The sequence below is a fragment of the Homo sapiens genome, chromosome 5, assembly GCF_000001405.40.
Source record: "Homo sapiens chromosome 5, GRCh38.p14 Primary Assembly".
In the NCBI taxonomy this organism is placed as follows: Eukaryota; Metazoa; Chordata; class Mammalia; order Primates; family Hominidae; genus Homo; species Homo sapiens.
Window position 1 is genome coordinate 62,502,506 of NC_000005.10, and position 26,765 is coordinate 62,529,270.

A 26,765-nucleotide genomic window follows, 5' to 3' on the forward strand; every position below is an offset into this window, starting at 1 on the left:
TGTGTTTTTTTATTTTCCCTTGTGATCTGGCTTTCTGTTCTTGCAGTCAAACTGGAATGCAGGCAGTTCATCTTAATTCATTTCACCTTTTTCTCTGCACATACTACTACACTGACTTCCCCTTTTTAGGAAGGAAAACATTGTTTTATTCAGGTGTCTTGTTTCATTTACTTATTTGCATAAATGTTATGGCTCGGGGTTGAGTGCATCTCTAGAATAAATGGTCCTTTCGTGGAGGAAAGTCGAGAGAATTAAGGGTTAGTGTGCTGGCAGTTTGATTTCTTTTCTTTTCTTTTCCTTTCCTTTCCTTTTTCCTTTTTTCCTTTTTCCTTTTTCCGAGTTGGAGTCTTGCTCTGTTGCCCAGGCTGGAGTGCAGTGGCACAATCAGCTTACTGCAACCCTCGCCTCCCAGGTTCAAGCGATCCTGGTGCCCCAGTCTCCTGAGTAGCTGAGATTATAGGTGCACGCCACTATGCCCAGCTAATTTTTGTATTTTTTTAGTAGAGATGGGGTTTCACCATGTTGGCCAGTCTGGTCTCGAACTCCTGGCCTCAAGTGATCCGCCTGCCTCCGCCTCCCAAAGTGCTGGGATTATAGGCATGAGCCACTGTGCCTAGCCTTGATTTCTTGTTTCTTTTTGAGGGGCTTTCATGTCTTGGTCTCTGTGAATTGTTAATATTGTACTTGTATATTCACTCAGTACTAAATGCTGGGAACTTAAAGATGTTTATGTGTAGTCCATGTCCTCAAGGGGATTGTCCTGTGCTTAATGTTTTCAAGTTAGCCATTTTTATCAGTATCTATTAATATATTAATAGTATCTACTAATATATTAATAGTATCTATTAATATATTAATAGTATCTACTAATATATTAATAGTATCTATTAATATATTAATAGTATCTATTAATATATTAATAGTATCTATTAATAGATTCTATTAATAGTTTAATATCTATTCCTCTCCTCCCCAGATTGTAAGATCTGTATGGGCATGGCTTACTCAGCTTTTTCTACAGCAGCTAACACAGTGCCGATGATAGTTCCTCATTGAATAGTTTTTGATGCAGTACCTGACCATACTGTCTTTTCGTGAGGTCATTTTGTGGCAGATCAAGTGGCAGCAAATTTGTTAAATCTGTTAAAAATCTGGAAATGTTCACATTGCCTTTAGAGACAGTGAATAAAAGGAAAAAGCAGGTGAAAAAACATCTGCACTGTAGGCTCTTAGAATCTGCGGATTTGGCAGTAGAGTATTTAACATTTGGTGAAGGTGGCTAATTGCATCTCAAGACCTCAGAAGCTCCTGTAAAATGTTTTAAACGCTTACTTTTTGAAAAATGACTGGAAAGAAAATAACAGTTGCTATAGTGTAACATCTAAGAAAGTAATGGTTCTCAGCTGGGAAATAAAAGTTTTAGATATATTATCTCACAGATTGAAATATAGAATTTAGTCATGTCTTGAGCTCATGTTACTTTATGTGGAAACTATGAATATCTTAGCCCATGCCAATTTTAGCCGATTAAGTCTGCGATAACACTTGAAAGAGAATGAGATTATGTTGTAATATGATTTGCCCAGGTAACATGCTGGTACACATGGAAAATATGATTTAGGAGGTCAGGAGCATATGTAAACCTTTCTGTATTTGTGAACTGTGGGATTTAGCAAATCTCAAAATATTTTGGGGATATTTCAAAGATTTACTGTAATTGAGGTTACAGGTGGAAATTTGCTTGTGTTCTTTCTCCTCCCCACCTCCTTCCTTCCTTGTCTCCTTTTGCACCTTTGACTTACACATCCTCCAATTTGTCCAACCCCACCCTGGTTTCCTGCTTCCTTCTTCCTCAATCCCATGCTCTCCACATACTTTACTGCAAATTATTTTCCTTCCTGGAAGGACCCACTGGATTAAAGGCTTATTAAGTAAATTATGGGAAACTGAAAAGAATAGGAATAAATGCTACTTTACCTTTTCTTTTTATTCCTTGCTTTGGATAAGGAGAGTATCCCTTTATTTCTGAATATTTACATGGTCTGTGACTCTAATAATAATAAGAGTACAGAAAGTGATTTGGAATAAAATTTTTTGTTTGATATTAATGATGTTTAGTCATTCTAAAATAATTAAAAACTAATGATATACTTTCTTTTAGGTCCGTATTGAAACAGCTACAACTTTGAAGTTAAATATCCTTCTGAAAATTTAAAAATACTTCATTGCAAAGAACTTTAACACTTTTAATTATTATTTATTTTGTGAAATTAATTTATGTATACTTGTTTTAGATACAGATTTATTTTGATAAAACTTATATATTCTCAGTATTCCTTAACTGTTCTTCACCTGTTGATGATTTTGAATTTAGAACAGATCAGTTTCTACCGGTAAGAATATACATTTCCAGGTATTTTTTTTAAAAAACAATTTCTGCTTATGTCTTTGAATACTATTTTATACATGAAATTATCTATGTGTTACTTATTAAAGTTGAATTTAAAAGTATGCTGTATTGGATTATTTTGGAGGACATAATTTTTATTTGTAAACTGTTTTGGTAACTTTTATTGCTAACAGTTCACTTATATTCTGCTTACTTTTGTTTAGCAATTTTGTCATCTGTGTTGAAGTTGGTTGTCAAACTTTTTTTTTCAAAATTGAAAAACATCTAGTATCTTCATTTTATGTGTGTCTGTTACTTTTTTGCTCCTTAGGTTATTTCTCTGTGTTATTTGCATTTGTATATCTTTATCCTGTCCTACACACTAGACTGTAAATTACTTGACGAGCAGAATACCAAGTTCTACTCATCTTTTTACTCTTTACTCAACCCCCAGCACCTAACATGGTGTTTTGCCATAACTGGTACTCAGTAAGCACTTGTTAAACATATCAGTAACATTGGGGTGTTAATATTTGTTCTTAAGAGGACTGGGTGAGAAGAAAGTTACGTGATAAAATGTACTTCTTTTGGTGAGGGAGATAGATAGGGAAGCTTGTAAAGCAGTGATCTTGCTTTAATAAAATAATCACTAGACATTTTTGGATGAAAGAAATGTGTTGTAGAAGTGTGTGCTAAAATGAACCCTATATCTGAAAGAACAAATTCTTGCTTTATGTAAGTGTGATTTGTTAAGTTTCTAACGTAATTTTCATAATATAAGAGTTCACAGCCAGACATAGGGTATTTGTTTTTGATTTCCTAATAAGAACTATTCTGCCATTTTTAGAATAACAAATTATATCTATAAAAATATATATTTCCATGCAATATATATTAAGGGTTACATCAGATAGCTAGTATGTGAGTGCAATAATTAACGTCTTTTTGCCGTAATGAGTAGGTCTTGCAAAACAAAACATTTCGTGATTGGCACCAGGCATATATGGAAGAACAGTGACAAGGCACTGTTAACAGTTTAGTTAACAGTATAAAATTTAAACAGACATAGCGTAGACAATATTCCTCTAAACATTATTCAGTTTGTAGATGAGTTAAATTCTGAAATGGACACATTCAGCAGCAATGAAGAAAGAAAACACTTTGTAAAACAATATGTACCGGCAGCTTGAACGATTTCAGGTTGTTTAGGTAATGCCAAGCTTTTGGCTGTTTATTTGACTTACTGCTTTGACATTATGATTTATTTCTTACTTCTGTTCGTATGAATGTAGAGGTCTTTCATTTCTATTATAAACCTTTTTTATTTTCTTTCTTTTTACCTGCAGTATTTGGAAACCATGTTCACACTACTTTTTCAGTTACTGCAGCAAGTTACAGAATGTGACACAAAGATGCATGTTTTGCATGTCCTTTCTTGTGTGATCGAAAGAGTCAACATGCAGGTAATTATATTGTAAAACATGAAAATAAATGAGGGGTGGGTAGAATAGACGTAGAATTCATTAATATCCTTGACTACATTGTTTAAGAGTTAAAACATTAATTGAAATGCTTCTAACTTATAGATTGTGGTTTCAGTTATGTATTATTCAAAATTGACATATTCGATTTTCTAAAAATGAGAAAATTAAAATACTAAAAAAAAAATTGGATCAACAGTGTAGAGGTGTTCATAGAGCAGAATTTTACATATTTTAGAAGATCCAGCCGATGTAAAATTGAGTGTGTTTGAGGGCATAGCCACAAGTGTCCATCAGCAAGACTTCTGGGAAAGTCTGTTATTTTTACCTGAAAAATTAAGTATTTTTTGCAGTCTGGTCTGCATTATATTTACATTTGGCTTAACATAAAAATGAGGTATAAAGCTCTTAACAGTTCAGTTATTCAGCTTCCCCTGTCACTCTGAATCTTTGTGGAAAATTGTTAATCCGGAAAACCACACTGTAATTATCGTTGTGACTTCCTATATTCTAGTTCACCATTGCATATCCTTGTTTGGAAAGCACTGAAGCAAATCTGTGATTTGCATTGTATTAGGAAAGATAATTGATTTGGATTTCACAGACTTAGAGTTTACCCTTGGATCTGCTGTTAGTGAATTGTGACACCTTGAGCAGATTTATTAATTCTAAAGCAGTTGATGAGAATAGCTATTAATTATTGACTAATGACAACATACTGACATATGTGCTACATGCTTTGCATATATTTCTCATTTAGTTCTCACAAAAAACTTGAGGTAGAGGAGTTAGAATTTATTGTCTCAAACAATTTGAGACTTGAAGGAACTTTTCAAAGTTCACGTATTTTAATGGCACTGCCAGTACTTTAAGCATAATGCGACTCCCGTGGTAGGGTTGAGTCACTGTTAATCATTTGAAACAGATCTGGGTACTGGTGTCTAAAAGTAGTAATATCTGTGTGATTCTTAGTACTTGGTGTTCTTAATACATTAATCACATTAATTCATTTGATGGTGTTTTTTTCAACAACATTGAGAGAATTTGGTCACACAGAGTTCATTGCAACTGTTTTAAGAACTCATTTTAAGTCCTTGCCTCTGCTATTTAGTTTGGGCAAAGTCTTTAACCTTGTGTCCTCATGTATAAAATGGTAAAGATAATTCTGAACTCACCTAACTTAGGATTTCATGAGCATAAAATTATTTCACATCTCCAAAATGCTTCAGGGTACTATAAAGTTGCAATAAATGGTTTAAAAAGTTGATTATAAAAACAAGATTTGGCTATTTTCTGTAATTTTATTTAGAAATATATGGCAGATGGAAATTTCTTAGATAAAACTTTTTTTTAAATAGAAATGGGTCTTCTTATCTTTGTCTCCCCAAACTTGGAATTAAAACTTTTTCTGTAAAGTTTGTTATTTTTTTGGCTTAGTAAATTTAAAAATGCTTATGTGTTTCTGTCTACACTCATCTTTCGGAGCACAAATAGCCTAAGCAGCTTACATGCCTATATCATCAGAAAGTAACAATAAGGTATAGTTATTCAATATAGTTTTTGTTTTTGAAAACTCAAACTAAATAGGAAATGGTTAAAAAAATATTTTCAGTTGTCTGATTCTTTTTTTTTCTACCTTAACCTCTGATCAACCCTATCATTTTTATCATTGTTGCATATATCCCTTAACTCTCTTTAATATGCCAAATTTGACGTTTGTCCATGAGGCAGCAAACTTTTAAAAAATGTTAACAAATTTTATCTTTTTTGAGATGAAGTCTTGCTCTCCCCCCCGGGCTGGAGTGCAGTGGCGCATCTCAGCTGACTGTACCCTCTTCTCCAATCTCCTGGGTTCAAGTGATTCTTGTCCTCAGCCTCCTGAGTAGTAGCTTGGATTACAGGTGTGCCACCATGCCTGGCTAATTTTTTTTTTTTTTTTTTTTTGTATTTTTAGTAGAGATGTGGTTTCGCCATTTTGGCTGGGCTGGTCTCAAACTCCTGGGCTCAAGGGATCCACCCGCCTTGGCCTTCCAAAGTGCTGGGATTACAGATGAGAACCACCGCAGCTGGCCAGAATTATCTTTTTGATATTAGGCAGCAAACATTTTGAGCCATCTTACAATAGTGCTTTCTTCTTCTTCTTCTTTCTTCCTTTGTCTTCCTTCTTCCTTCTTTCTTTCTTCTTTCTTCTTCTTTCTTCCTCCCTTCCTCCTTTCCTCCCTTTCTCCCTCCCTCCCTCCCTCCGTCTCTCTCTCTTTCTTTCTTTCACAAAGTGCAGGTTTGTTACGTAGGTATACATGTGCCATGTTGTTTTGCTGCACCCATCATGTTGACAGTTACATTAGGTATTTCTCCTAATGCTATCCCTCCCCCAGCCCCGCACCACTCGCCCCCAACAGGCCCCGGTGTGAGATGTTCCCCGCCCTGTGTCCATGTGTTCTCATTGTTCAACTCCCACCTATGAGTGAGAACATGCGGTGTTTGGTTTTCTGTCCTTGTGGTAGTTTGCTGAGAATGATGGTAATGATAGACTGGATTAAGAAAATGTGGCACATATACACCGTGGAATACTATGCAGCCATAAAGAAGGATGAGTTCATGTCCTTTGCAGGGACATGGATGAAGCTGGATACAATAGTGCTTTCTGACACATACAGTTTAATGTTGAAGTTTCAGTAAAGTCACCATCTTTGTACCATACTGTACAATTATTTGAATATTGTCTTTACTTTTTGATAAAGTAGTTGAAAACCTACAGTTAACTTTTCTAGTGCAGAGATCTTATAAATATATAGTCAAAATAAATATGTAATCATCAGGCGTGGTATCAGGTGGTCTTTGGGCCTGTGCATTTCTGAAGTGAAAGAACAAAATTAAAGGGACTCTGTGAAATATAAAATACTCTGTTGAAAATTTTATCTAAAAGATGAGGTGTCCTTAGGAACTTAGAGTAATTTTTTTAACCCCAATGATAGAGCCCTCATTAAAACATTTGTTAGATTGTCACCTATTTGATTTTCATGTTTTCAGTGATATGAATTTAAGTGGAGCTTTCCCTATATATGAGTTAACTCATAAGACTATAATACTCAAAGTGCTTCCCCCACACCTCAAATTCTTTGGTAAGAACACTTAACATGAGATCCATCCTCTTAACAAAATTATAAGAGTAGAATACATTATTGTTGACTTTTGCTACAACATTCTATAGCAGAACCCTAAAGCTTATTCATCTTGTTTACCTGAAACTTTATGCCTGTTGATTAGTAACTTATTTCCCCTTCCCCTTAGTCCCTGGCAACCACTGTTCCACTCTTTGATTCTATGAATTAGACTATTTTAGATACCTCATATAAGTAGAATTGGTGTATATATGCAATTGTGTGTGTAATACCACATGTTCTTTATCCATTCATCTGTTGATGGATATTTAGGCTGCTTCCACATGTTGGCTATTGTGAATAGTGCTACAGTAAACATGGTAGTGCTAATAATTTCTTTGGGATCCTGATTTCAGTTCTTTTGAATAGATGCCCAGAAATGGGATTGCTGGATGATAACGATAGTTCTGGTTTTCATTTTTTTTGGAAGCTCAATGCTACTTTCCATAGTGGCTGTAACATTTTACATTCCTAGCAACAGTGTACAAAGATACCAGTTTCTCCACACCATTGCCAACACTTGTCTTATCTTTTATTTTTGTTTTGTAATAGCCACCCTGACAGGCATGAGGTGATATCTCATTGTGGTTTTTGACTTGCATTTCCCTAATGACTGCAAAAACTTTCTTAGTTCTATGTGATTTTTAAAATGTTATGCCAATAATTGAAATTGTCCTTCCCTTAAAACCTTTGTATTATAATCTTATTCAGAATTTTATATGGACAGTATTTTTTCTTTCACCTCTTTTCATTGAAAAATCTCAAACCTCCAAAAAGTTATAAAATAGATCAACACTTATATATCCTTCACTTCATTAGTAAGTTTCATCACTTACTAATATTTTACCACATTTGCTTTCTTTTTATCTATCCACATATACAGATTGTTATTGTAAAACTATTTGAGTTTTAGTTGCAGACATCATGATACTCTCCAGAATATTAGACCTCTCCTTCTTAAGAGATGTATGCTCCATTTCCTACATTATCATAACCGTGATTAGACTCAGGAAGCTTAACACTGATACAATACTATTATCTAATATCAAGTCAGTATTCAGATTTCCTTAGTTGCCCCATATAGCTAGCCTCCCACCCCACTGGAATATGTTTGGCTCTCATGTCCCTGCTTTGTTATTTTTAATGCCCAGTTTTTTTCTCCTTCCTTTTATATCTTTCACAGCAGTCGGTGATTGATTTTTTTGTTTTTGTTTTTTGAGATGGAGTCTTGCTTTGTCACCCAAGCTAGAGTGCAATGGGGCTCTCTTGGCTTACTGCAGCCTACACCTCCCAGATTCAAGTGATTCTCCTGCCTCAGCAGGAGTAGCTGGGATTACGGGTGCACGCCACCATGCCTGGCTAATTTTTGTATTTTTAGTAGAGACGGGGTTTCACCATGTTGGCCAGGCTGGTTTTGAACTCCTGACCTTCAAGCGATCTGCCCTCCTTGGCCTCGCAAAGTGCTGGGATTACAGGCGTGAACCACTGCGCCTGGCCTCTATGATTGATTTTTGAAATACTATTTTTATAGCATTAATTTTAATTTAGAACATTGTATATTCTAATGACAGCCAAGATTGGAATATAAATATTTTATGGCTTTTAAATGTAACTGGGTACTTTGGTTTTATTACCCTATTTGTAATTTATAGTGTATATTTCTTTTCTGCAATTTCTAGGAAAGTATCCTCCCTCTTTAAAACTAAAACTACCTCATTTTCCTTACCAGTAGATTGTGTTGTCATATGCTTATTTTTAGTTGAGTATGAATGAGTTAGATACTTTGTAATCTGTTTTTACTTATTAATTGGCCTGCTTTTATGAGCTAACTGGAGTGATCTTTGAGATAGAACACTTAGCAATATTGAGTACATGTTCCAGAAATAATATTATAATCAAATTTTGAAAATAAGGTATTACATGATAAATATGTTAAAATAAGGTAACACATCTCTTAATATTTATTCACTTATATCTTACTGAGATATTTGTGCAAATATTTAACTTCTTATTTTTCTGCATTCCCCACTAACACTTCACCACAGGAGAGGGGAGCAAATTCTGTAGTTGTTTGGCTACCCTTTTAGAGTATTTTACTAGCAGAATGAAGAAACTCACCCTTTCTGGGAACATTTTAAATTTTAATCCAGATATTCAAGTAGATAGTAGTGAAGCTATGAAGGTCTAGTGTTATTTCATCCCCAAGGATATTCTTTTATTTTTATTTTTTTTTTTAGATTATAAAAACTTCCTCTTTAATCAAGGCTTTTAACATGAACAGATTTCTTGAATAAAATGGAAAGTTTCCAGTACACTGAAACATAAATCCACAAGTCACCATACATACAACACCCGGCAGGAAAAAACAAAAACAGCAAGTTTACATGATCCCTGTAACAGCCATGGTCTCAAACTCAGATGCTTCCTCCATCTGCCAAGTGTGTTCTGGATACAGAGCACATCGTGGCTTCTGGGGTCACACTCAGCTTAGGCTGTGGGTCCACAGAGCACTCATCTGGCTGGGCTATGGTGGAGGTGGCTCTACTCAAGAAGCAAAGCAGTTACCAGCACATTCAAACAGTGTATTGAACATCTTTTAAATATCAAAGTGAGAAACAAGAAGGCAACATAATAATGTTATCAGAAAGATGTTAGGAAGTAAGGACAGCTGTGTAAAGCTTGAGGCTGAAAAGTAGCTTGCCAGCTTCATTTCTTTGGTTTCTTGGGTAGTGGGCGCCGGAACAGCAAGATGTGAGGTTCTGGTTCATGGATCATATAATGGACCCATCCCTGACTCTGCTGAACGCCAAGATTCCTCCATTCAGATTCAGACATCAGATGGGTTTTAGGGACCAGCTTGGCTATGTCCTTGGGCAGCATGACATGTCGATACTCAAACTCCTCGTCATCGTATTTGTCCGAATAGTAAATTTGTTTGTGCGACATAAATGATTTAACTTTTATTCTGAAAAGCCTCCTGAATATTTATATCCCTAGAACGATACATAAGAATTGATCATCTTTCCTTATGGGAGGACTTTTTTTTGTTGTTGTTGTTGTTTTCTTTTTAATTTTATTTTTTTTTTAATTGATCATTCTTGGGTGTTTCTCACAGAGGGGGATTTGGCAGGGTCATAGGACACTAGTGGAGGGAAGGTCAGCAGACAAACAAGTGAACAAAGGTCTCTGGTTTTCCTAGGCAGAGTGTTTGTGTCCCTGGGTACTTGAGATTAGGGAGTGGTGATGACTCTTAACGCGCATGCTGCCTTCAAGCATCTGTTTAACAAAGCACATCTTGCACCGCCCTTAATCCATTTAACCCTGAGTGGACACAGCACATATTTCAGAGAGCACAGGGTTGGGGGTAAGGTCATAGATCAACAAGATCCCAAGGCAGAAGAATTTTTCTTAGTACAGAACAAAATGAAAAGTCTCCCATGTCTACTTCTTTCTACACAGACACGGCAACCATCTGATTTCTCAATCTTTTCCCCACCTTGCCCCCTTTTCTATTCCAGAAAACCGCCATCGTCATCATGGCCCATTCTCAATGAGCTGTTGGGTACACCTCCCAGACGGGGTGGTGGCCGGGCAGAGGGGCTCCTCACTTCCCAGTAGGGGCGGCCGGGCAGAGGCGCCCCTCAGCTCCCGGACCGGGTGGCTGGCCAGGCGGGGCGCTGACCCCCCCATCTCCCTCCCAGACGGGGCGGGTGGCCGGGCGGGGGGCTGACCCCCCCACCTCCCTCCCGGACGGGGCGGCTGGCTGGGCGTGGGGCTGACCCCCCCACCTCCCTCCCAGACGGGGCGGCTGGCTGGGCGGGGGGCTGAGCCCCCCACCTCCCTCCCGGACGGGGCGGCTGGCCGGGAGGGGGCGCTGACCCCCCCCCCACCTCCCTCCCGGACGGAGCGGCTGGCTGGGCAGAGGGGCTCCTCACTTCCCAGTAGGGGCGGCCGGGCAGAGGCGCCCCTCACCTCCCGGACGGGGCGGCTGGCCGGGCGGGGGGCTGAGCCCCCCACCTCCCTCCCGGACGGGGCGGCTGGCTGGGCAGACGGGCTCCTGGCTGGGCAGAGGGACTCCTCACTTCCCAGTAGGGGCGGCCGGGCAGAGGCGCCCCTCACCTCCCGGACAGGGCGGTTGGCCGGGCGGGGGGCTGAGCCCCCCACCCCCGGACGGGGCGGCTGGCCGGGTGGGGGGCTGACCCCCACCTCCCTCCCGGACGGGGTGGCTGCCAGGCGGAGACGCTCCTCACTTCCCAGACGGGGTGGCAGCCAGGCGGAGGGGCTCCTCACTTCTCAGACGGGGCGGTTGCCAGGAGGAGGGTCTCCTCACTTCTCAGACGGGGCGGCCGGGCAGAGACGCTCCTCACCTCCCAGACGGGGTCGCGGCCGGGCCGAGGCGCTCCTCACATCCCAGACGGGGCGGCGGGGCAGAGGCGCTCCCCACATCTCAGACGATGGGCTGCCGGGCAGAGACGCTCCTCACTTCCTAGATGGGATGGGGGCCGGGACGAGGCGCTCCTCACTTCCCAGGTGGGATGGCGGCCGGGCAGAGACGCTCCTCACTTTCCAGACTGGGCAGCCAGGCAGAGGGGCTCCTCACATCCCAGACGATGGGCAGCCAGGCAGAGACGCTCCTCACTTCCCAGACGGGGTGGCGGCCGGGCAGGGGCTGCAATCTCTGCACTTTGGGGGGCCAAGGCAGGCGGCTGGGAGGTGGAGGCCATAGCGAGCCGAGATCATGCCACTGCACTCCAGCCTGGGCACCATTGAGCACTGAGTGAATGAGACTCCGTCTGCAATCCTGGCACCTCGGGAGGCCGAGGCTGGCGGAACACTCGCGGCTAGGAGCTGGAGACCAGTCTGGCCAACACAGCGAAACCCCGTCCCCACCAAAAAAACACGAAAACCAGTCAGGCGTGGCGGCGCACGCCTGCAATCGCAGGCACTTGGCAGGCTGAGGCAGGAGAATCAGGCAGGGAGGCTGCAGAGAGCCGAGATGGCAGCAGTACAGTCCAGCTTTGGCCCGGCATGAGAGGGAGACCGTGGAAAGGAGAGGGAGAGGGAGACGGGAGAGGGAGAGGGAGAGGGAGAGGGAGAGGGAGACGGGAGGACATCCCCAAGGATATTCTTAGAGCAATTTCAAATACTGTAATACTCAGCTTATAGCAATCTCAAATACTGGAGCTGAAACGCTGTCCAGCATCATTGTAGATCCATTTTATTTTTCAAGAAACTACTGTCAGACTGAGCTGTGCTCCAGGGTAAAATGTAAAATCTGATTAACTTAATCCATAGTGAGCTTAGCAATTTTATCCTTTGAAAATGTTTTTTTTCTCTTGTGTTTCCACCATACCTTGTATACACCTTCATCATTGCACTTCCCCTTTTTCATTGTAAGGGTTTGTCTGGCTGTCTGTGTATCCTTTTCTGTCCAGTGCCTTGTGTTCAGGGCCTGAAACTTGGAAGATATTTGTAGAATGAATGAATAGATGCTGACTTTTTAAAAAATAATAGTATAATTTCCAATTTGGTAAGCTGTTTTGTTAAAAAAGAAGCAGGTTATAACAGCATTTTCTGTTAACCTCTAAAGTGTTTTTTTATATTCATAAATTTTATTTCATTCAGTACACTTGATATTTGTTTAAAATTATTTAAAAATATTTACTATAGAGCCCTGGGCTTTTATGTAATGTCTAATTTTATTTCTTAAGGGTATAAGCTTAATACATTACATCTAATAAATATTAAATATGTGCTGTCTGGGACTTAATAGTGCTCTCATTGTTTTTCAAAGTAAATTGCCTTCTTTACCAATAAAATTTTGTTGTTTCCTCTACTTATATTGTAATAGATACGACCATATGTGGGATGTTTGGTACAATATTTGCCCCTCCTTTGGAAGCAGAGTGAAGAACACAATATGTTGAGATGTGCTATTTTGACAACACTTATTCATCTTGTTCAGGTAAGTCACTTCTCCACAGAGTTTTTTTAGTTTAGTGGTTTTTAAAAAATTCTTTTAACCATTTAAAAATTGTTTTTATGTGATTTATGTTAATGGTAGTGAAAAACTTCACATATCTTTTATTTTTTTTTCCATGTGTGATCTAAACCGATTTAAAAACAACTTTTGCATGCTTATTTTGGACATTTTTTTGAGGATGTAAAAAATATTATTCACTTTTAAATGTTGTCTCCAGTGATGATAGACTCATGGTTCATGCAGTCCATGGCACCATGCATGCAGTTTCCTTGGTGGTCGGGGCTTTTCTGCTTAAACATACTTAATGTTTTCACTCTTTTTCCTTGATTTAAAATAAAAAAATTCCCTATTATAACTTGGTAAGGCAGGAAACCAGGTGAGTTGCTTTTGAGGGGAGACAAGTGAATTGGATCTCAGACATTTTGACGTTTGAGGTGTTGGGATGTGGTAGCAGGTAGAGAGGAACCTGAAACTTAGAGCTGGACTATAGTTCTTATTTGAACTGTTACAGTGAATCATAGTCTGGTGAGAGTATGGTTAGGGAAGAGCTCAAGGCCGTGAGTTAGAATATATGTGTGGAGATGCTCAAGTGATTTTACTGACTTCACCCACAAGTTTGAGAAATTTTCCAGTGGGGAAGAAATCAGAAGTATCCCTAAATTCAGAAGTACTGCTCTAAAGCTTTCTAAAATTAGTTTAGAAAAAACCAGAAACTTTTCTCAGAAGCTTTGATACTTTTTTGAACATGAGCTCATTCTTTCCATAAATGCTTTCTTTTTTTTTTTCCTTTTTGAGACGGAGTCTCGCTCTGTTGCACAGGCTGGAGCACAGTGGCGCGATCTTGGCTCACTGCAACCTCCGTCTCCTGGGTTCAAGCAAGTCTCCTGTCTCAGCCTCCCAAGTAGCTGGGATTACAGGCACACGCCACTGTGCCTGGCTAATTTTTGTATTTTTAGTAGAGATGGTGTTTCACCATGTTGGCCAGGCTGGTCTCAAACTCCTGACCTCAAGTGATCCGCCCACCTCAGGCTCCCAAAGTGCTAGGATTACAGGCATGAGCCACCATGCCCAGCCCCTCCGTAAATGGTTATGGATGACTTTTAGTTACAGATTCCTGTTTAAGGCAATTTCAGATAAATAGTAATGCAAAATATTTTTAATGTACATTTCCCTGCTTTCTTTTTTTTACTGTGGTAAAATACACATAACAAAATTTACCGTTTTAACCAATTTTAAGTGTACAGTGTAGTGTATGAATATATTAAATACATTCATAATGTTCAACTGTCACTACCATCCATCTCTGTAACTCTTTTTATCTTGTAAAACTGAAGCTATATCATTAAACAAAAACTCCACAGCTCCATCACTAAAGCACTTAAAAAAAAAAAAAGTGAGGCTGGGCGTGGTGGCTCAAGCCTGTAATCCCAGCACTTTGGGAGGCCGAGGCGGGTGGATCACAAGGTCAGGAGATCAAGACCATCCTGGCTAACACGGTGAAACCCTGTCTCTACTAAAAATACAAAAAATTAGCCAGGCGTGGTGGCGGGTGCCTGTAGTCCCAGCTGCTCAGGAGGCTGAGGCAGGAGAATGGCATGAACCCAGGAGGCAGAACTTGCAGTAAGCCGAGATCGCGCCACTGCACTCTAGCCTGGGCGACAGAGCAAGACTCCGTCTCAAAAAAAAGAAAAAAAAATAAGTGGCCCAGAATCTCTTCCTGTCTACCTTTTAATGCTTATGATTACCTTATAAAGATTATGTCCGTTTTATAGAAGAGGATAAAGACTAAGAGAAGGTTACTATCTTGTGAATGCATTTATAAGTAATAGAACAATGAACGACCCGAGATATTTTGTATTATAACAGCATCTCTGCCAAATGTTTTTTGTTTTCGTTTTTTGAGACGGAGTTTCGCTCTTGTTGCCCAGGCTGGCGTGCAATGGTGCGATCTTGGCTCACTGCAACCTCCACCTCCCAGGTTCAAGCAATTCTCCTGCCTCATCCTCCAGAGTAGCTGGGATTACAGGCATGCTCCACCATGCCTGGCTAATTTTTGTATTTTTAGTAGAGATGGGGTTTCTCCATGTTGGTCAGGCTGGTCTTGAACTGCCGACCTCAGGTGATTTGCTTGCCTTGGCCTCCCAAAGTGCTGGGATTACAGGCGTGAGCCACTGCTCCCGGCCTCCAAGATGTACTTTTAAGCTCAACTTGGGAGTTTTGTGAGAGACATGTAACTAAACACCAACTTTCAAGTCTCCTCAGGCAGTGTTACTTCAAGTAGTCTCAGGAGGTCAGAGTAACTCTTGTGGAATGTTAGGCCTTTTTTCTTTAATCATGACATTTAAGTACCCTGTGTATTTGTACCGGCCAAGAGTGCAAGGTTCAAACAAGTAGTATTCTACCTTTCTTGGAGAAAGCATATAACATAATACCAAAATTGAGACTGTAGCTTAAAATATATTTTTCAGCCGTTTGGGAAGATTATACTAAAGTTTATTGGTTGGCCAGGCACTGTGGCTCACACCTGTAATCCCGGCATTTTGGGAGGCTGAAGTGGATGATCAGTTGAGGTCAGGAGTTCGAGACCAGCCTGGCCAACATGGTGAAACCCCGTGCCTACTAAAAAAAAAAAAAAAAAAAATTTGGCCAGGCGCAGTGACTCACGCCTGTAATCCTAGCACTTTGGGAGGCCGAGGCGGGTGAATCACGAGGTCAGGAGATTGAGACCATCCTGGCCAACATGGTGAAACCCCATCTCTACTAAAAATACAAAACTTAGCCAGGTGAGGTGGCACATGCCTGTAGTACCAGCTACTCAGGAGGCTGAGGCAGGAGAATCGCTTGAACCTGAGAGGCGGAGGCTGTAGTGAGCTGAGATCGCGCCACTGTACTCCAGCCTGGGTGACATAGCGAGACTCTGTCTCAAAAAAAAAAAAGCCCAAAAATTAATTGGGTGTGGTGGCGCACACTTGTAATCCCAGCTATTTGGGAGGGTGAGGTGTGAGAATTGCTTGAACCCGGGAGGCAGAGGTTGCAGTGAGCCAAGATCACACCCCTGCACTCTAGCCTGGGTGACAGAGTGAGACCCTGTCTCAAAAATAATAAAAAAAATTTACTGGTAAATTTCCTTTCTTGCAAAATACTGCTATCTTTTGGCTTTTGACACGTAACAGACATTGGTGTAAGTTTCTGTATGTTTTTGTTTGTTTTTTTAATCCTGGAAATCCAGATTCTGGTAGTCTTTGAAGAGGGTGGTCACTGGGTGAAAATAAACTTTCTAGTCTGCATAGTTGAACTTAGAGGAAGTAGGTATTCGTTCATACGCTAAACATTTATTGAGAACCTGCAATGTGCAATACAGGGTAATAGGCACTGGGCTACAGAATACAAATGAATAGAATGGGATCTTTGTGTAGGTGACTGTCTAGGGAAATACTGAATAAGTGTGTTAATTGCCCTTTTAGCAATTAAGAACATATTGCTATTGGGGGTACATGGCCAATTCCCTGTGTCACATGGAGGGTGAGGCGGGGCACATTAGGGAAGGCCTCCTGACAGAGGTGTTACTCAAATTTTGGTGTTGTTAAATAGTGTTGTTAAATAAAACAAGAAGTGTTATTTAGATGGTGGTTTAGCAATGAGAGTGGTAAAGGTGTTTTAGGCATATGAACTGACATGTGTAAAACTACCTAAGCATTAGAGAATGCAGTACATTTTATTTTTTTTTAAGGTTTATATATTGATCAGTTTTAATGTTGACAGATAAAGGAGTTAGTTCTTAAAGATTTTTCAAATGAAAAGTATCAGTACCCTGCTCCTCCTCCTCATTTCCTTTTTGGTGGAAGAATCCACTGTCAACTCTTACAGCCATATCATAGGTTTCTCAGTCTTTCTCACTCTAACATATTGTTTATTACTGATTTAAGCATTGTAGGCATTACTTCTTGACTTCCCTGCATAGAAGATGAAAATGTAATTCTTTTATACCCCTGTGTCCTTCCTATTCCACTATCCTCCCAGTATACTTGATTGTATAAAGACGGTTGAAGGCCTATATCATTATGTCATGATTAATTTTATTTCTTATACATAGTGTTTCCAACCTCCACCCTTGTATTAATAATTTTATTTGCCTAGTATACTGAGAAAGTACCATAAACTTGGTGGCTTAAAACAATATGCATTTATTAGCTCATAGTTCTGTAAGTCAGAAACCTGGGCATGCCATGTCTGAATTCTCTGATCAGAGTTTAATGGACTGAAATTGAGGTGACTGCCAGAATAAATTCTTCGCTGGAGGCTTTGGGGAAGAATCTGTTTCCGTACTCATTCAGCTTGTTGGCAGAGTTTAGTTCATTGATTTGTAGGACTAAGGTCCCAGTTTACTTGCTAGCTGTCATCTAGGGTCCCCTCTTGTTCCCAAGTCCAGCCACATTCTTTGACACATAGCCCCTTTCATGTTCAAAGTCAGCAGTGGGGAAATTCTCAAATGTCAGATCCCCCGAGGGTTTTAATCTGTGACCTCCCCTTATGCCACTAGCTAGAAAATACTCTCTTTTAAAGGGCTCTTGTGAGTAGGTCAGGCCCACCTGGATAATCTTCCTATCTAAGGTCAGTTGATGTGGGACTTTAATTACATCTGTAAATTATTTCTTCGCAGTAGTACCTAGATTAGTGGTTGAATAACTAGGGAATGGTGTGTGTACAGTAGTGTCCAAGAACCTAAGTGATCATCTTAGATTTCTGCTTAGTACACTTAGTTGTCTATGCAGTTGAACCTATTCTTTTCACTTGTTATCTACACATTTCCTCAGTGATGTTTTGTTACTTTCATCATCTTGAAGAGATACGACAGATTTTTTTTTTTTTAACACTTTAAGTTCTAGGATACATGTGCACAACGTGCAGGTTTGTTACATATGTATACGTGTGCCATGTTGGTGTGCTGCACCCATTAACTCGTCATTTACATTAGGTATATCTCCTAATGTTATCCCTCCCCACTCCCCTGACCCCATGACAGGTCCTGGTGTGTGATGTTCCCCACCCTGTGTCCAAGTGTTCTCATTGTTCAGTTCCCACCTGTGAGTGAGAACGTGCTGTGTTTGGTTTTCTGTCCTTGCGATAGTTTGTTCAGAATGATGGTTTCCAGCTTCATCCATGTCCCTACAAAGGATGGCTGCGTAGTATTACATAGTGTATATGTGCCATGTTTTCTTAATCCAGTCTATCATTGATGGACATTTGGGTTGGTTCCAAGTCTTTGCTACTGTGAATAGAGCCACAATAAACATACATGTGCATGTGTCTTTATAGCAGCATGATTTATAATCCTTTGGGTGTATACCCAGTAATGGGATGGCTGGGCCAAATGGTATTTCTAGTTCTAGATCCTTGAGGAATTGCCACACTGTCTTCCACAATGGTTGAACTAGTTTACAGTCCCACCAACAGTGTGAAAGTGTTCCTATTTCTCCACATCCTCTCCAGCACCTGTTACTTCTTGACTTTTTAATGATCTCCATTCTAACTGGTGTGAGATGGGAGATATGACAGATTCTTATGTGCTCTAGTTTGGACTGGTTTTACTTAGGCTTTTGCACAGCTGTTGTAACTGGATTTTCTTTCACTGCCTATCCTTTCTGTGGGATGTCTGTTTTCTGCGCATCATGTCATATCTTTTCTTGTTTTACATTCTTTTTCTGATGGCAGCCATGAATGGCAGTAGCATTTTGCAAAAATACATAGGAGGTAAATTTTTTGTTTTGAGATATTGCATGTGCGAAAATGTCTTCATTCTAGTTTCAAATTGATTAGTAGTTTGGCTGGTATAAAAGTCTAGGTTTCCCCCTCAAAATTTTGGAGACTTTTTTTTTCTTTGTCTTAAGACTTCCAAAATTGCTCTGGGGACCCTGGAGCCATTCTAATTCTTGATTCTTGAATGTATTACCCCTCCTTCCCTTTTCTGGCAACTTGTGTGATCATCTCTGTGTTCCTGTTTTCAGTTTCATGATGGGAGTGCCTTTTCATCTCACTGTTCTGGACACTTGGTGGACATTTCAGGCTGGAAACTCATGTTCTTGAATGCTAGATGACTCCATTGTATTTTATTTCTTCCTCTTCGTATTTTTCTTTTCTTACTTTCTGAAGTTTTTGTTACTTACATGATAGATATTCTGAACCAGTCGTCTGATTTTCTTTGTTTCCTTCCTGCTTTTTTTTTTCCTCTTTCTCCTTCTGTTCTACTTTCTAGGGAATTTTCTCAGTTTTATCTTTCAGCCTTTTTATTGAGTTTTTCTTTTCTGGTGACATGTTTTAATGCCTATGGGTTCTTTTGTGTTTTCCTGAATAATTCTTTTGTACAACATTTTGTTTTTGTTTTATGAATGCAGTGTTTTCTTTAATGCAGTGTTTTAATTACCAAAGATATTAATGATATATTTTTCCAAGCTTTCATCTCTGCCTGGTCTCTGTTTCTTTTAGGGTGCTGTTTTCTATTTAGTTAGTTGTTTTGTTTTCTGTTTTTCATAGCAAACATTTTAATCATATCTGTTGATCCTCGGTTGCCTTCTCTTATTTACTTATTTACGTTCTATTATGAAAAATTTAAAGCATACACAAAAAAGGAAGAAGAGTGTGATGAATCCTGAAGCATCACCCAACTTCAAGATCAGCATTTTGTCTGTATAAATTTAGGAGCGGACACTAAAAAGCTGAGTGGAGGGATTGTGTGTGTGGTGTGGTGGGGAGGCTTGCTGATTGTGGTGGGTTTTTTTTTTTTTTGAGACAGGATCTCACTCTGTTGCCCAGGCTGGAGTGCAGTGGTACGATCTTGGCTCACTGCAACCTCCACCTCCAGAGTTCAAGTGATCCTCCTGCCTCAGCCTCCCCAGTAGCTGGGACTACAGGCATGCACCAACATGCCTGGCTAATTTTTGTATATTTAGTGGAGACAGTGTTTCATCATGTTGGCCGGGCTAGTCTCAAACTCCTGACCTCAGCTGATCTGCCCGCCTTGACCTCCCAAAGTGCTGGGATTACAGGCATGAGCCACTGCTCCCGGCCATAATTGTGTGTTTTTCTTTTAGGATGGTCTGGTTGGGTTTTGTAGGAGAATGTTTTCGGGTTAATTTTTTAAGGTCTTTCCTCAGTGAAGGACCCCTCAGTCTCCTACCTGTTACATGCTGATGTAATCTTCCTGTTTTATGTCATATCCCTGTTCTTGATTACCTGGTATCTCCCTGTCTTGAAACCATCTGTTTTGTCTTAGCAGAAAATAAATAGCTGGTTTTATTCTGGTTCAGAGGAGGGCCAGTTATTTGTCTCCTTATGTATCTGGATGAGATCTTGGCATCAAACTGCTTTCTAAACATTTTCTAGAAGTCCTCTTATTATTAATACTTCCTTTTCACTGTCCTCCAATCCTCTGTCCCCTAAATGCAGGCATGCATATGCGCACACAGTTGTGCACACACACACACCTCTCAAAATACCTGGTGCCATTAGTTCCTCAGTCTTTTTTCTGTAGTGTAAATCAGGTAGTTTGTCTTTTCCTGCTCCCCTGCTGGATTTTAGTTTTGGTTTCTTAGTTGGCTAAATCAGTTAGCACTTGTCTTTCTTCCCAGCTTCCAAAGTGAATTACTTTTATCTCTTCTTATTCTGTCTTTGTATTTCTGTTTTTAGTTCTTTTTTTTTAAATCCTCCTGTATCCTTTTAGTTGGCTTTGGGAAAGAACAGTAGTAAATGCATGTATTGAAACTGTTCCTCTGTTAGCTTTCTCCAGATGTTAACATAGTGATTTCTAACACTGTGCATTATTTGGTATAGCAGGAACATAGAGTACAGAGCTTGTATAGGGGGAACTGGTCAGGAAGGCTAAGCGAACATCTCTTGAAGGTCAGAGGAAGAAACGTTACGATTTTTATTTTAGAAAAGTAGTCAGTGCACCACTGAGGACACTAGTTTGGAAGTGGGTAAAACTAAGGTCAAATAGACTAGGAGACTGTTAATCAGAAAAAAGATGATGAGAACCTGAATTATGGAGAGAAGGGGAAAGATTTGAAAAATATTTAGGAGATATTTCTTCTTCTTTGAAGAAGAACCAGGAGGTAGCCATGATATAATTTATCGCTAGGTAGATAGTGATTCATGTCACTTGAGTTAGGAAATACAGGAAGAAGAACTGTGTTTTAGGAAGACAATGAGTTGGTTCAGTATTAGAAGTTGAGATAACCTTCTGGCTGATAATGTGCTGTAGTTAGTTGATTGTTTGGAATTCAGAGAGTTGTTGTAGATATGATAGATTTGTATATCATCAGTGTGTTCATGGGACATGAGAAGACAGCCAAGGATACTACCCTGAGAATGGTATTTGGAGGATGCTATTTTTTTTTAAACTTTTCTTCTGTGGAAAAAATTATAGATTCACAGGACGTTTGAAAGATTGTATAGAGAAATCCCATGTGTCCTTCACCCAATTTCTCCTTACATGTTATGTAATTATAGTAGAATATTAATTCTCCCCTCTTTAATTATTCCTGGTAGTTTTCTTATTTTAATAACCGATGAATTCATTTTTGAACTTTCAGAGTATTGTAGGCAATGTCTTGTAGTTACTGTGGGCCCAAAGGGTGCTTACATTTACTTAAAGCTGCATATCAGGGATTGGACACATTCTTTAGCCACTAGAATTATAAGGTATTGAATCTCTTCAAGCATTGATTAAGACAGTGTGTTATATAGTATAGTAGAATTAGTATTCTACTATAATTACATAAGATGTAAGGAGAAATTGGGTGAAGGATACGTGGGATTTCTCTATACAATCTTTGAAAGCAGTGTGTTTAGCGATTGCTTACGTTAGTTTTGCTAATGCTAGCATATTTTGAATACACATTTAAGTAAGTAGATAAATTTTCCAAGGAAATTTTAAGTCTACTGATAATCAAAATGAACTTGACTGTTTTTTTCTTAATATTCTTTCTTTTTTGTTTCATGAAAGATTGAGCTATGGAGAGTGAAATTGAAGTGAGTTTTAAGGCCCAATATGTACTACTCTGTTAAATAATGGCATTTTCATAATTCTCTTCCTTTGGAAAACTCCTTAATAAAGCCTTCCAAGTGGTTTTTCATTATTAAAAGGGACAAAATTATATTTAACATAAGTTCTGGAGATTTAATATACAGTGCAGTGACTGTAGTTAAAAAATAATGTATTGTACACTGGAGAATTGCAGATAAAATCCCAACAATTGAACTTAGTAGTATGTGTCATCAAAAGGGGAATACATATATACTGTGTGGCATTGTAATTTGCTTTGAATTATATTGACATTTGAATTACTTCTTAGGTGAGGAGGTATTTTGTAATTTATTTGGTTTCCTTTTTGTGTTCATGAAATTATAGATATTATTATGTTTTACAGATTGACTTTTTACCCGTTTTGTTTTCTTCCAAAATACCTACTGTGTAATACATTGAATCAACCTCCCTAACAGTAATTCAGCAAACTAGAATTTTAGATCGAAACTTCTCTTCTTCTTCCATCTTTGTGTTCTTGATTCATTAAAAATGTTATCAAAAATTCTTAAATATGTTGAAAAGATAACAAAAACACCTTTGCCCTCATCCCAACATCATCCTTTTTCCTTTCCTGTATCTAAGAAGCATTAACAGTTTTTTCTGTTTGCTTCCAGAAACATTTTTGTGTATATCATATACAGATATCTAGATATTTAAAAAAATTCTTTGACATGTGGAATTGTTATACACACTTCTGCACCTTTTAAAAAGAATTTGTTTGAAAATTTAAAATTCTGTGTCAAATCCTCCCATCCTTTTTTTTTTTTTGTGTGTGTGTGTGTGTGAGGTGAGGAGGTCGACAGATTCTTGCTTTATCATGTAGGTTGGAGTGCAGTGGTGGGATCATAGCTCACTGACTGCAGCCTTGAATTCTAGGGCTCCAGCGATCCTCCTGCCTCAGTCTCCTGAGTAGCTGGGACTCTAAGCAGGCACCACCATGCTTGGCTAACTTTTAAATGTTTTTCAAGAACAGAGTCTTGCCATGTTGCCCAGGCTGGTCACCAACTCCTGGCCCCAAGCAGTCCTCCCGCCTTGGCCTCCCAATGAGTTGGGATGATAGGCATGAGCCATGGCATTCAGCCCCTAAAATCTTTTTTAATGGCTTTTCAATATTCTTGAATCTGTTCCATAATTCGGTTACTTTACTGATGAACATTTAGGGTGGGTTCATTTTAGATTAATTATTTAGGTGAAAGCATCTATAGAATTTAAAATACCAAAGTTAGTATGTCATCTGTAGAGACAGGGAGAGGAAAATAGATATTTCTTATATGTGCAGTCTATTAAAATGAACAGATGTATGTAGCCTTGACATATATATTTTTTAAACTGCCAATAGGCAATTGAATAGTATTTTTTAATTTTTCCTTTCCAATTATAAACAGAACTTTGTTTTGCTATTACTTGTAATTAGGACCTTCCTAAAAATATGATTCATTTTTTTAATTGGTTTTAGGGCTTTTTGTATGATAGGTAATTTTTTGGTGCGGGATGGGACATTAGAGTGTCTTATTATAAGTTTTATTTATACTTCCCATAGGGATTAGGAGCAGACAGCAAGAACCTGTACCCTTTCCTGCTCCCAGTTATTCAACTGAGTACAGATGTTTCACAGCCTCCACATGTTTATCTTCTGGAAGATGGTTTAGAATTATGGTAAGAGGAAAAACTTAATACCATGGATCTTATTTTATTCGTGACCTTTCCTACTCTCATGCCAGTAAAGTTAAGGTCATGTAATAGGGCTTTAAAAACAGAAAATGTAAACTCTGTTTCTTCAAACTGGGGCATATATCTCCTTTTTTTGGCAGCTGTCAATCAGTGTAGGATTATAGTAGACAAAGTTAAAGGGGGACATTTCAATAGGAACTCAGCTGCATTTCATCTTTTGGAATTTGTCATGTAATATGGGGTCATGGTAACTTTTCCAAAAAGTTACTGACTTACAATTTCCAGTCTGTTAAATGAGATGTTTGGGGGATATTGAGGTCCTCTTACTACTTAACCAAGTGTTGAGATATTATACCTTAGCTCCAAATGCTAATGCGACTTACAGTCTTAACTTACTGTTCTACTGAGTAAATTAGTAGTATGCGTTATTAAGAGGTTAAAAAAAATGCCCTGCTTCTGTGGCAGCTCGGTGCTACAAAGGCTTATTGACTGCCCACGGTGTGTAAGCAACTGTGCTAGAAAATCCTTTTGCTTTATTAAGCTCACTTTACTGTTGGCAACAGTTTTCTCCAGAGACAATCTTTCAATAATACATGAAAAGTTTCAAAATCCCATTTTGTAAATTGATAGTGCAGTTAAAGAAAGCAAATCATAGAAATCAACTGTAAAAGAAATGAACATTTGATTCTCTTCATCCCTCCCTCCCTCCCTTTGGAACTAACTGTTTTTGTTAGATGTCTAGAATTTAACAGTTTTGGTTCTTAGAAATTACTTTGGTGCAAATTATAAATAATGATCTTTATCAGAATATGAGATGAATGACTTTAAAACTTTACTAGTTAGATACTTATTAATTTGTGGTTTGCGTTCTTCAGAAAGGTGTTGTTCGAACTTAAATGGCATGTATGTGGTTTGGTTGTAAATTAGCCTGTTGTTGAAATATTTTATATTCAAACACTTATATTTGTATAAGGATGGATTACTTTAGATCAGAGGTTGGCAAACTTGTACTAGACAGGACCAGATATTAAATATTTTGGGCTTTCTAAGTCACACAGTCTTTGTTGCAACTATTTGACTCTGCTGTCAGTGTCAAAACAGTCATAGACAATATGTAAGTAGGTATGGCTGTGCGCCAATTAAACATCATTTATAGAAATAAGTACGTGGGTGGATTTAGCCCATGAGCTGTAGTTTGCCATCCTCTGCCCTAGATTGTAAGATAAAATATTAATTCCTGGCATATAAATAATTTTGTGCAAACATGTAGATACTATATGATGTTGAATGTTAGAAAAAATCCAATATTAAAGAGATTAGACTCAGAATTATCAGTATTACTGACAATATATTAATGTGTTATTAAAAGTGTAGATATTTTCAAGGGATTACATTAAAAAGTAATAATAAAAATGCACGGCTTTGTTAATGGTAATGTTTTTTCCTAGCTTTTAGTTACATGCTAATAAAAATAAATTATTAGGAGAAAATTTTTTTAATTACCTAATTTGTTAATAGTTGAGTTTCTTTAAAGAGAGTACATCCTTCTTCATGAATTTTTCTTGATGGGTTAGAGTTTATATTTGAAATCAGGCAAACATAGGTGCCAATCCCAGTTATGCTACTGCATTATATATGTAATTTTAAGAAGTTAATCATCTTTGGTGAACCACAGTTTTCTTGTCTTTAAAATGAAGAATAATTCCTACCCTTACATGGTTGTTGTGAATATGAGATAATGTTTGCTGAAGTGGTTGGCACTTTGGATATGGCATTCAATGCCTGAGGATAATTAAAGATTGCCTAAGAAGAGAAGGACAGAGAACATTCTGGCCAGGGCAGAATTCTAATGAACTTGTAACATTTTGAGGACACGAGGAGCCATCTACAAAGACAGAGAAGAGCTGTTTACTTATATAGTAGGAAAACCAAGCCAAGAGAGGAGAATGTTTCCTAAAAGAGGAGAAAGTGGTCAACTTTGTCAAATGTTGCTGATTTTCCTAGTAAGATTAGTATAGAGATGTGAATTTGGCCACATGAAGATGATAGGAGGGTTTTCACCGGAGTGGTAAGAACAGAAATTAGAATTGGAATAGACTGAAGAATGAATTGAAGGTAAGTCCATACAGACTATGCACACTGATAACTTGTTTGAGAGCTTTTACTATTAAGAGGAGCATAGACATGGGGCAACAACTGGGTAGTGTGGGAAATGTGAAGATCTAGAGGAATGGGTGAGGCTGGATTGAGAGAGTGGGATAAATGAAGGAGGCAAAAAGGGGTGGGATTCAGAGCTCAAGTGGAGGGGGTTGAATTTTGGTAGCAGCTGGGATACTTCATGCATTTTAACTGGAGGCAGAAGGTGGTTTTCCAAATTTTGTAGTGGAATGAGATAGGGAGGTGTTCCATCCAATAGCTTGTATTTTCTCAACAAAATATGAAGCATCGTCTTTAGTGGGGAGTAATGGGCTGGATTAGGAGTGTGCACAAGATATGAGAGGTCTGTAGGTGAGAGAAGGTATAAAGTAGATATCTTAGAGAATGGGAATTTGAATTTATTAGGGATAAAACCAGTACACCAGTTGATGCTTGGGGTCACGAATATGGAGTGAAACTTTCAGACTGATTATGTGATTTATCTCCTACTATGGCTTTTTATTTTCCTCTTGATCCATCTCACTAGAGATTTGTCAGTTACTAGGCTTTTCAAAAACAACCTTTGGCTTTGGTTCTCTTTGTTGTATATCTGTTTCCTATTTATTAATATCTGCTCTTATGTTTATTATCTTATTCTACTTGCTTTAGGTTTATGGGCTTGTTGTCATCTGATCTCCATTCTAAGAAAATCAGCTCATCAACTTTTAGCCTTTCTTCTATCTTAATATAAACATTTAATACAATAAATTATTTTTAAACAGAATTTGAACAAAAGACTTTGTATAGTTTTTTTGTTTCTAAGAAAATTGGATGAGGTAGTAATGAATACTGGTAAGCAGGC

The 26,765-nt window shown here is 38.7% G+C and overlaps 1 protein-coding gene and 1 pseudogene across 2 annotated transcripts in view; one reads left to right on the top strand and one right to left on the bottom strand.

Annotated features, from left to right (window-relative positions):
- IPO11 (importin 11) overlaps positions 1 to 26,765 on the top strand; it is a 215,820-nt gene that overhangs the window by 89,743 nt on the left and 99,312 nt on the right. For both annotated transcript variants that reach the window (NM_016338.5, NM_001134779.2), the window contains exons 17-21: positions 2,162 to 2,195; positions 2,353 to 2,393; positions 3,736 to 3,852; positions 12,883 to 12,996; positions 23,637 to 23,752. In NM_016338.5, coding sequence (NP_057422.3) covers positions 2,162 to 2,195; positions 2,353 to 2,393; positions 3,736 to 3,852; positions 12,883 to 12,996; positions 23,637 to 23,752 — 422 coding nt within the window. The remainder of the gene's footprint in view (positions 1 to 2,161; positions 2,196 to 2,352; positions 2,394 to 3,735; positions 3,853 to 12,882; positions 12,997 to 23,636; positions 23,753 to 26,765) is intronic.
- Positions 9,266 to 9,977, bottom strand: CKS1BP3 (CDC28 protein kinase regulatory subunit 1B pseudogene 3; annotated as a pseudogene).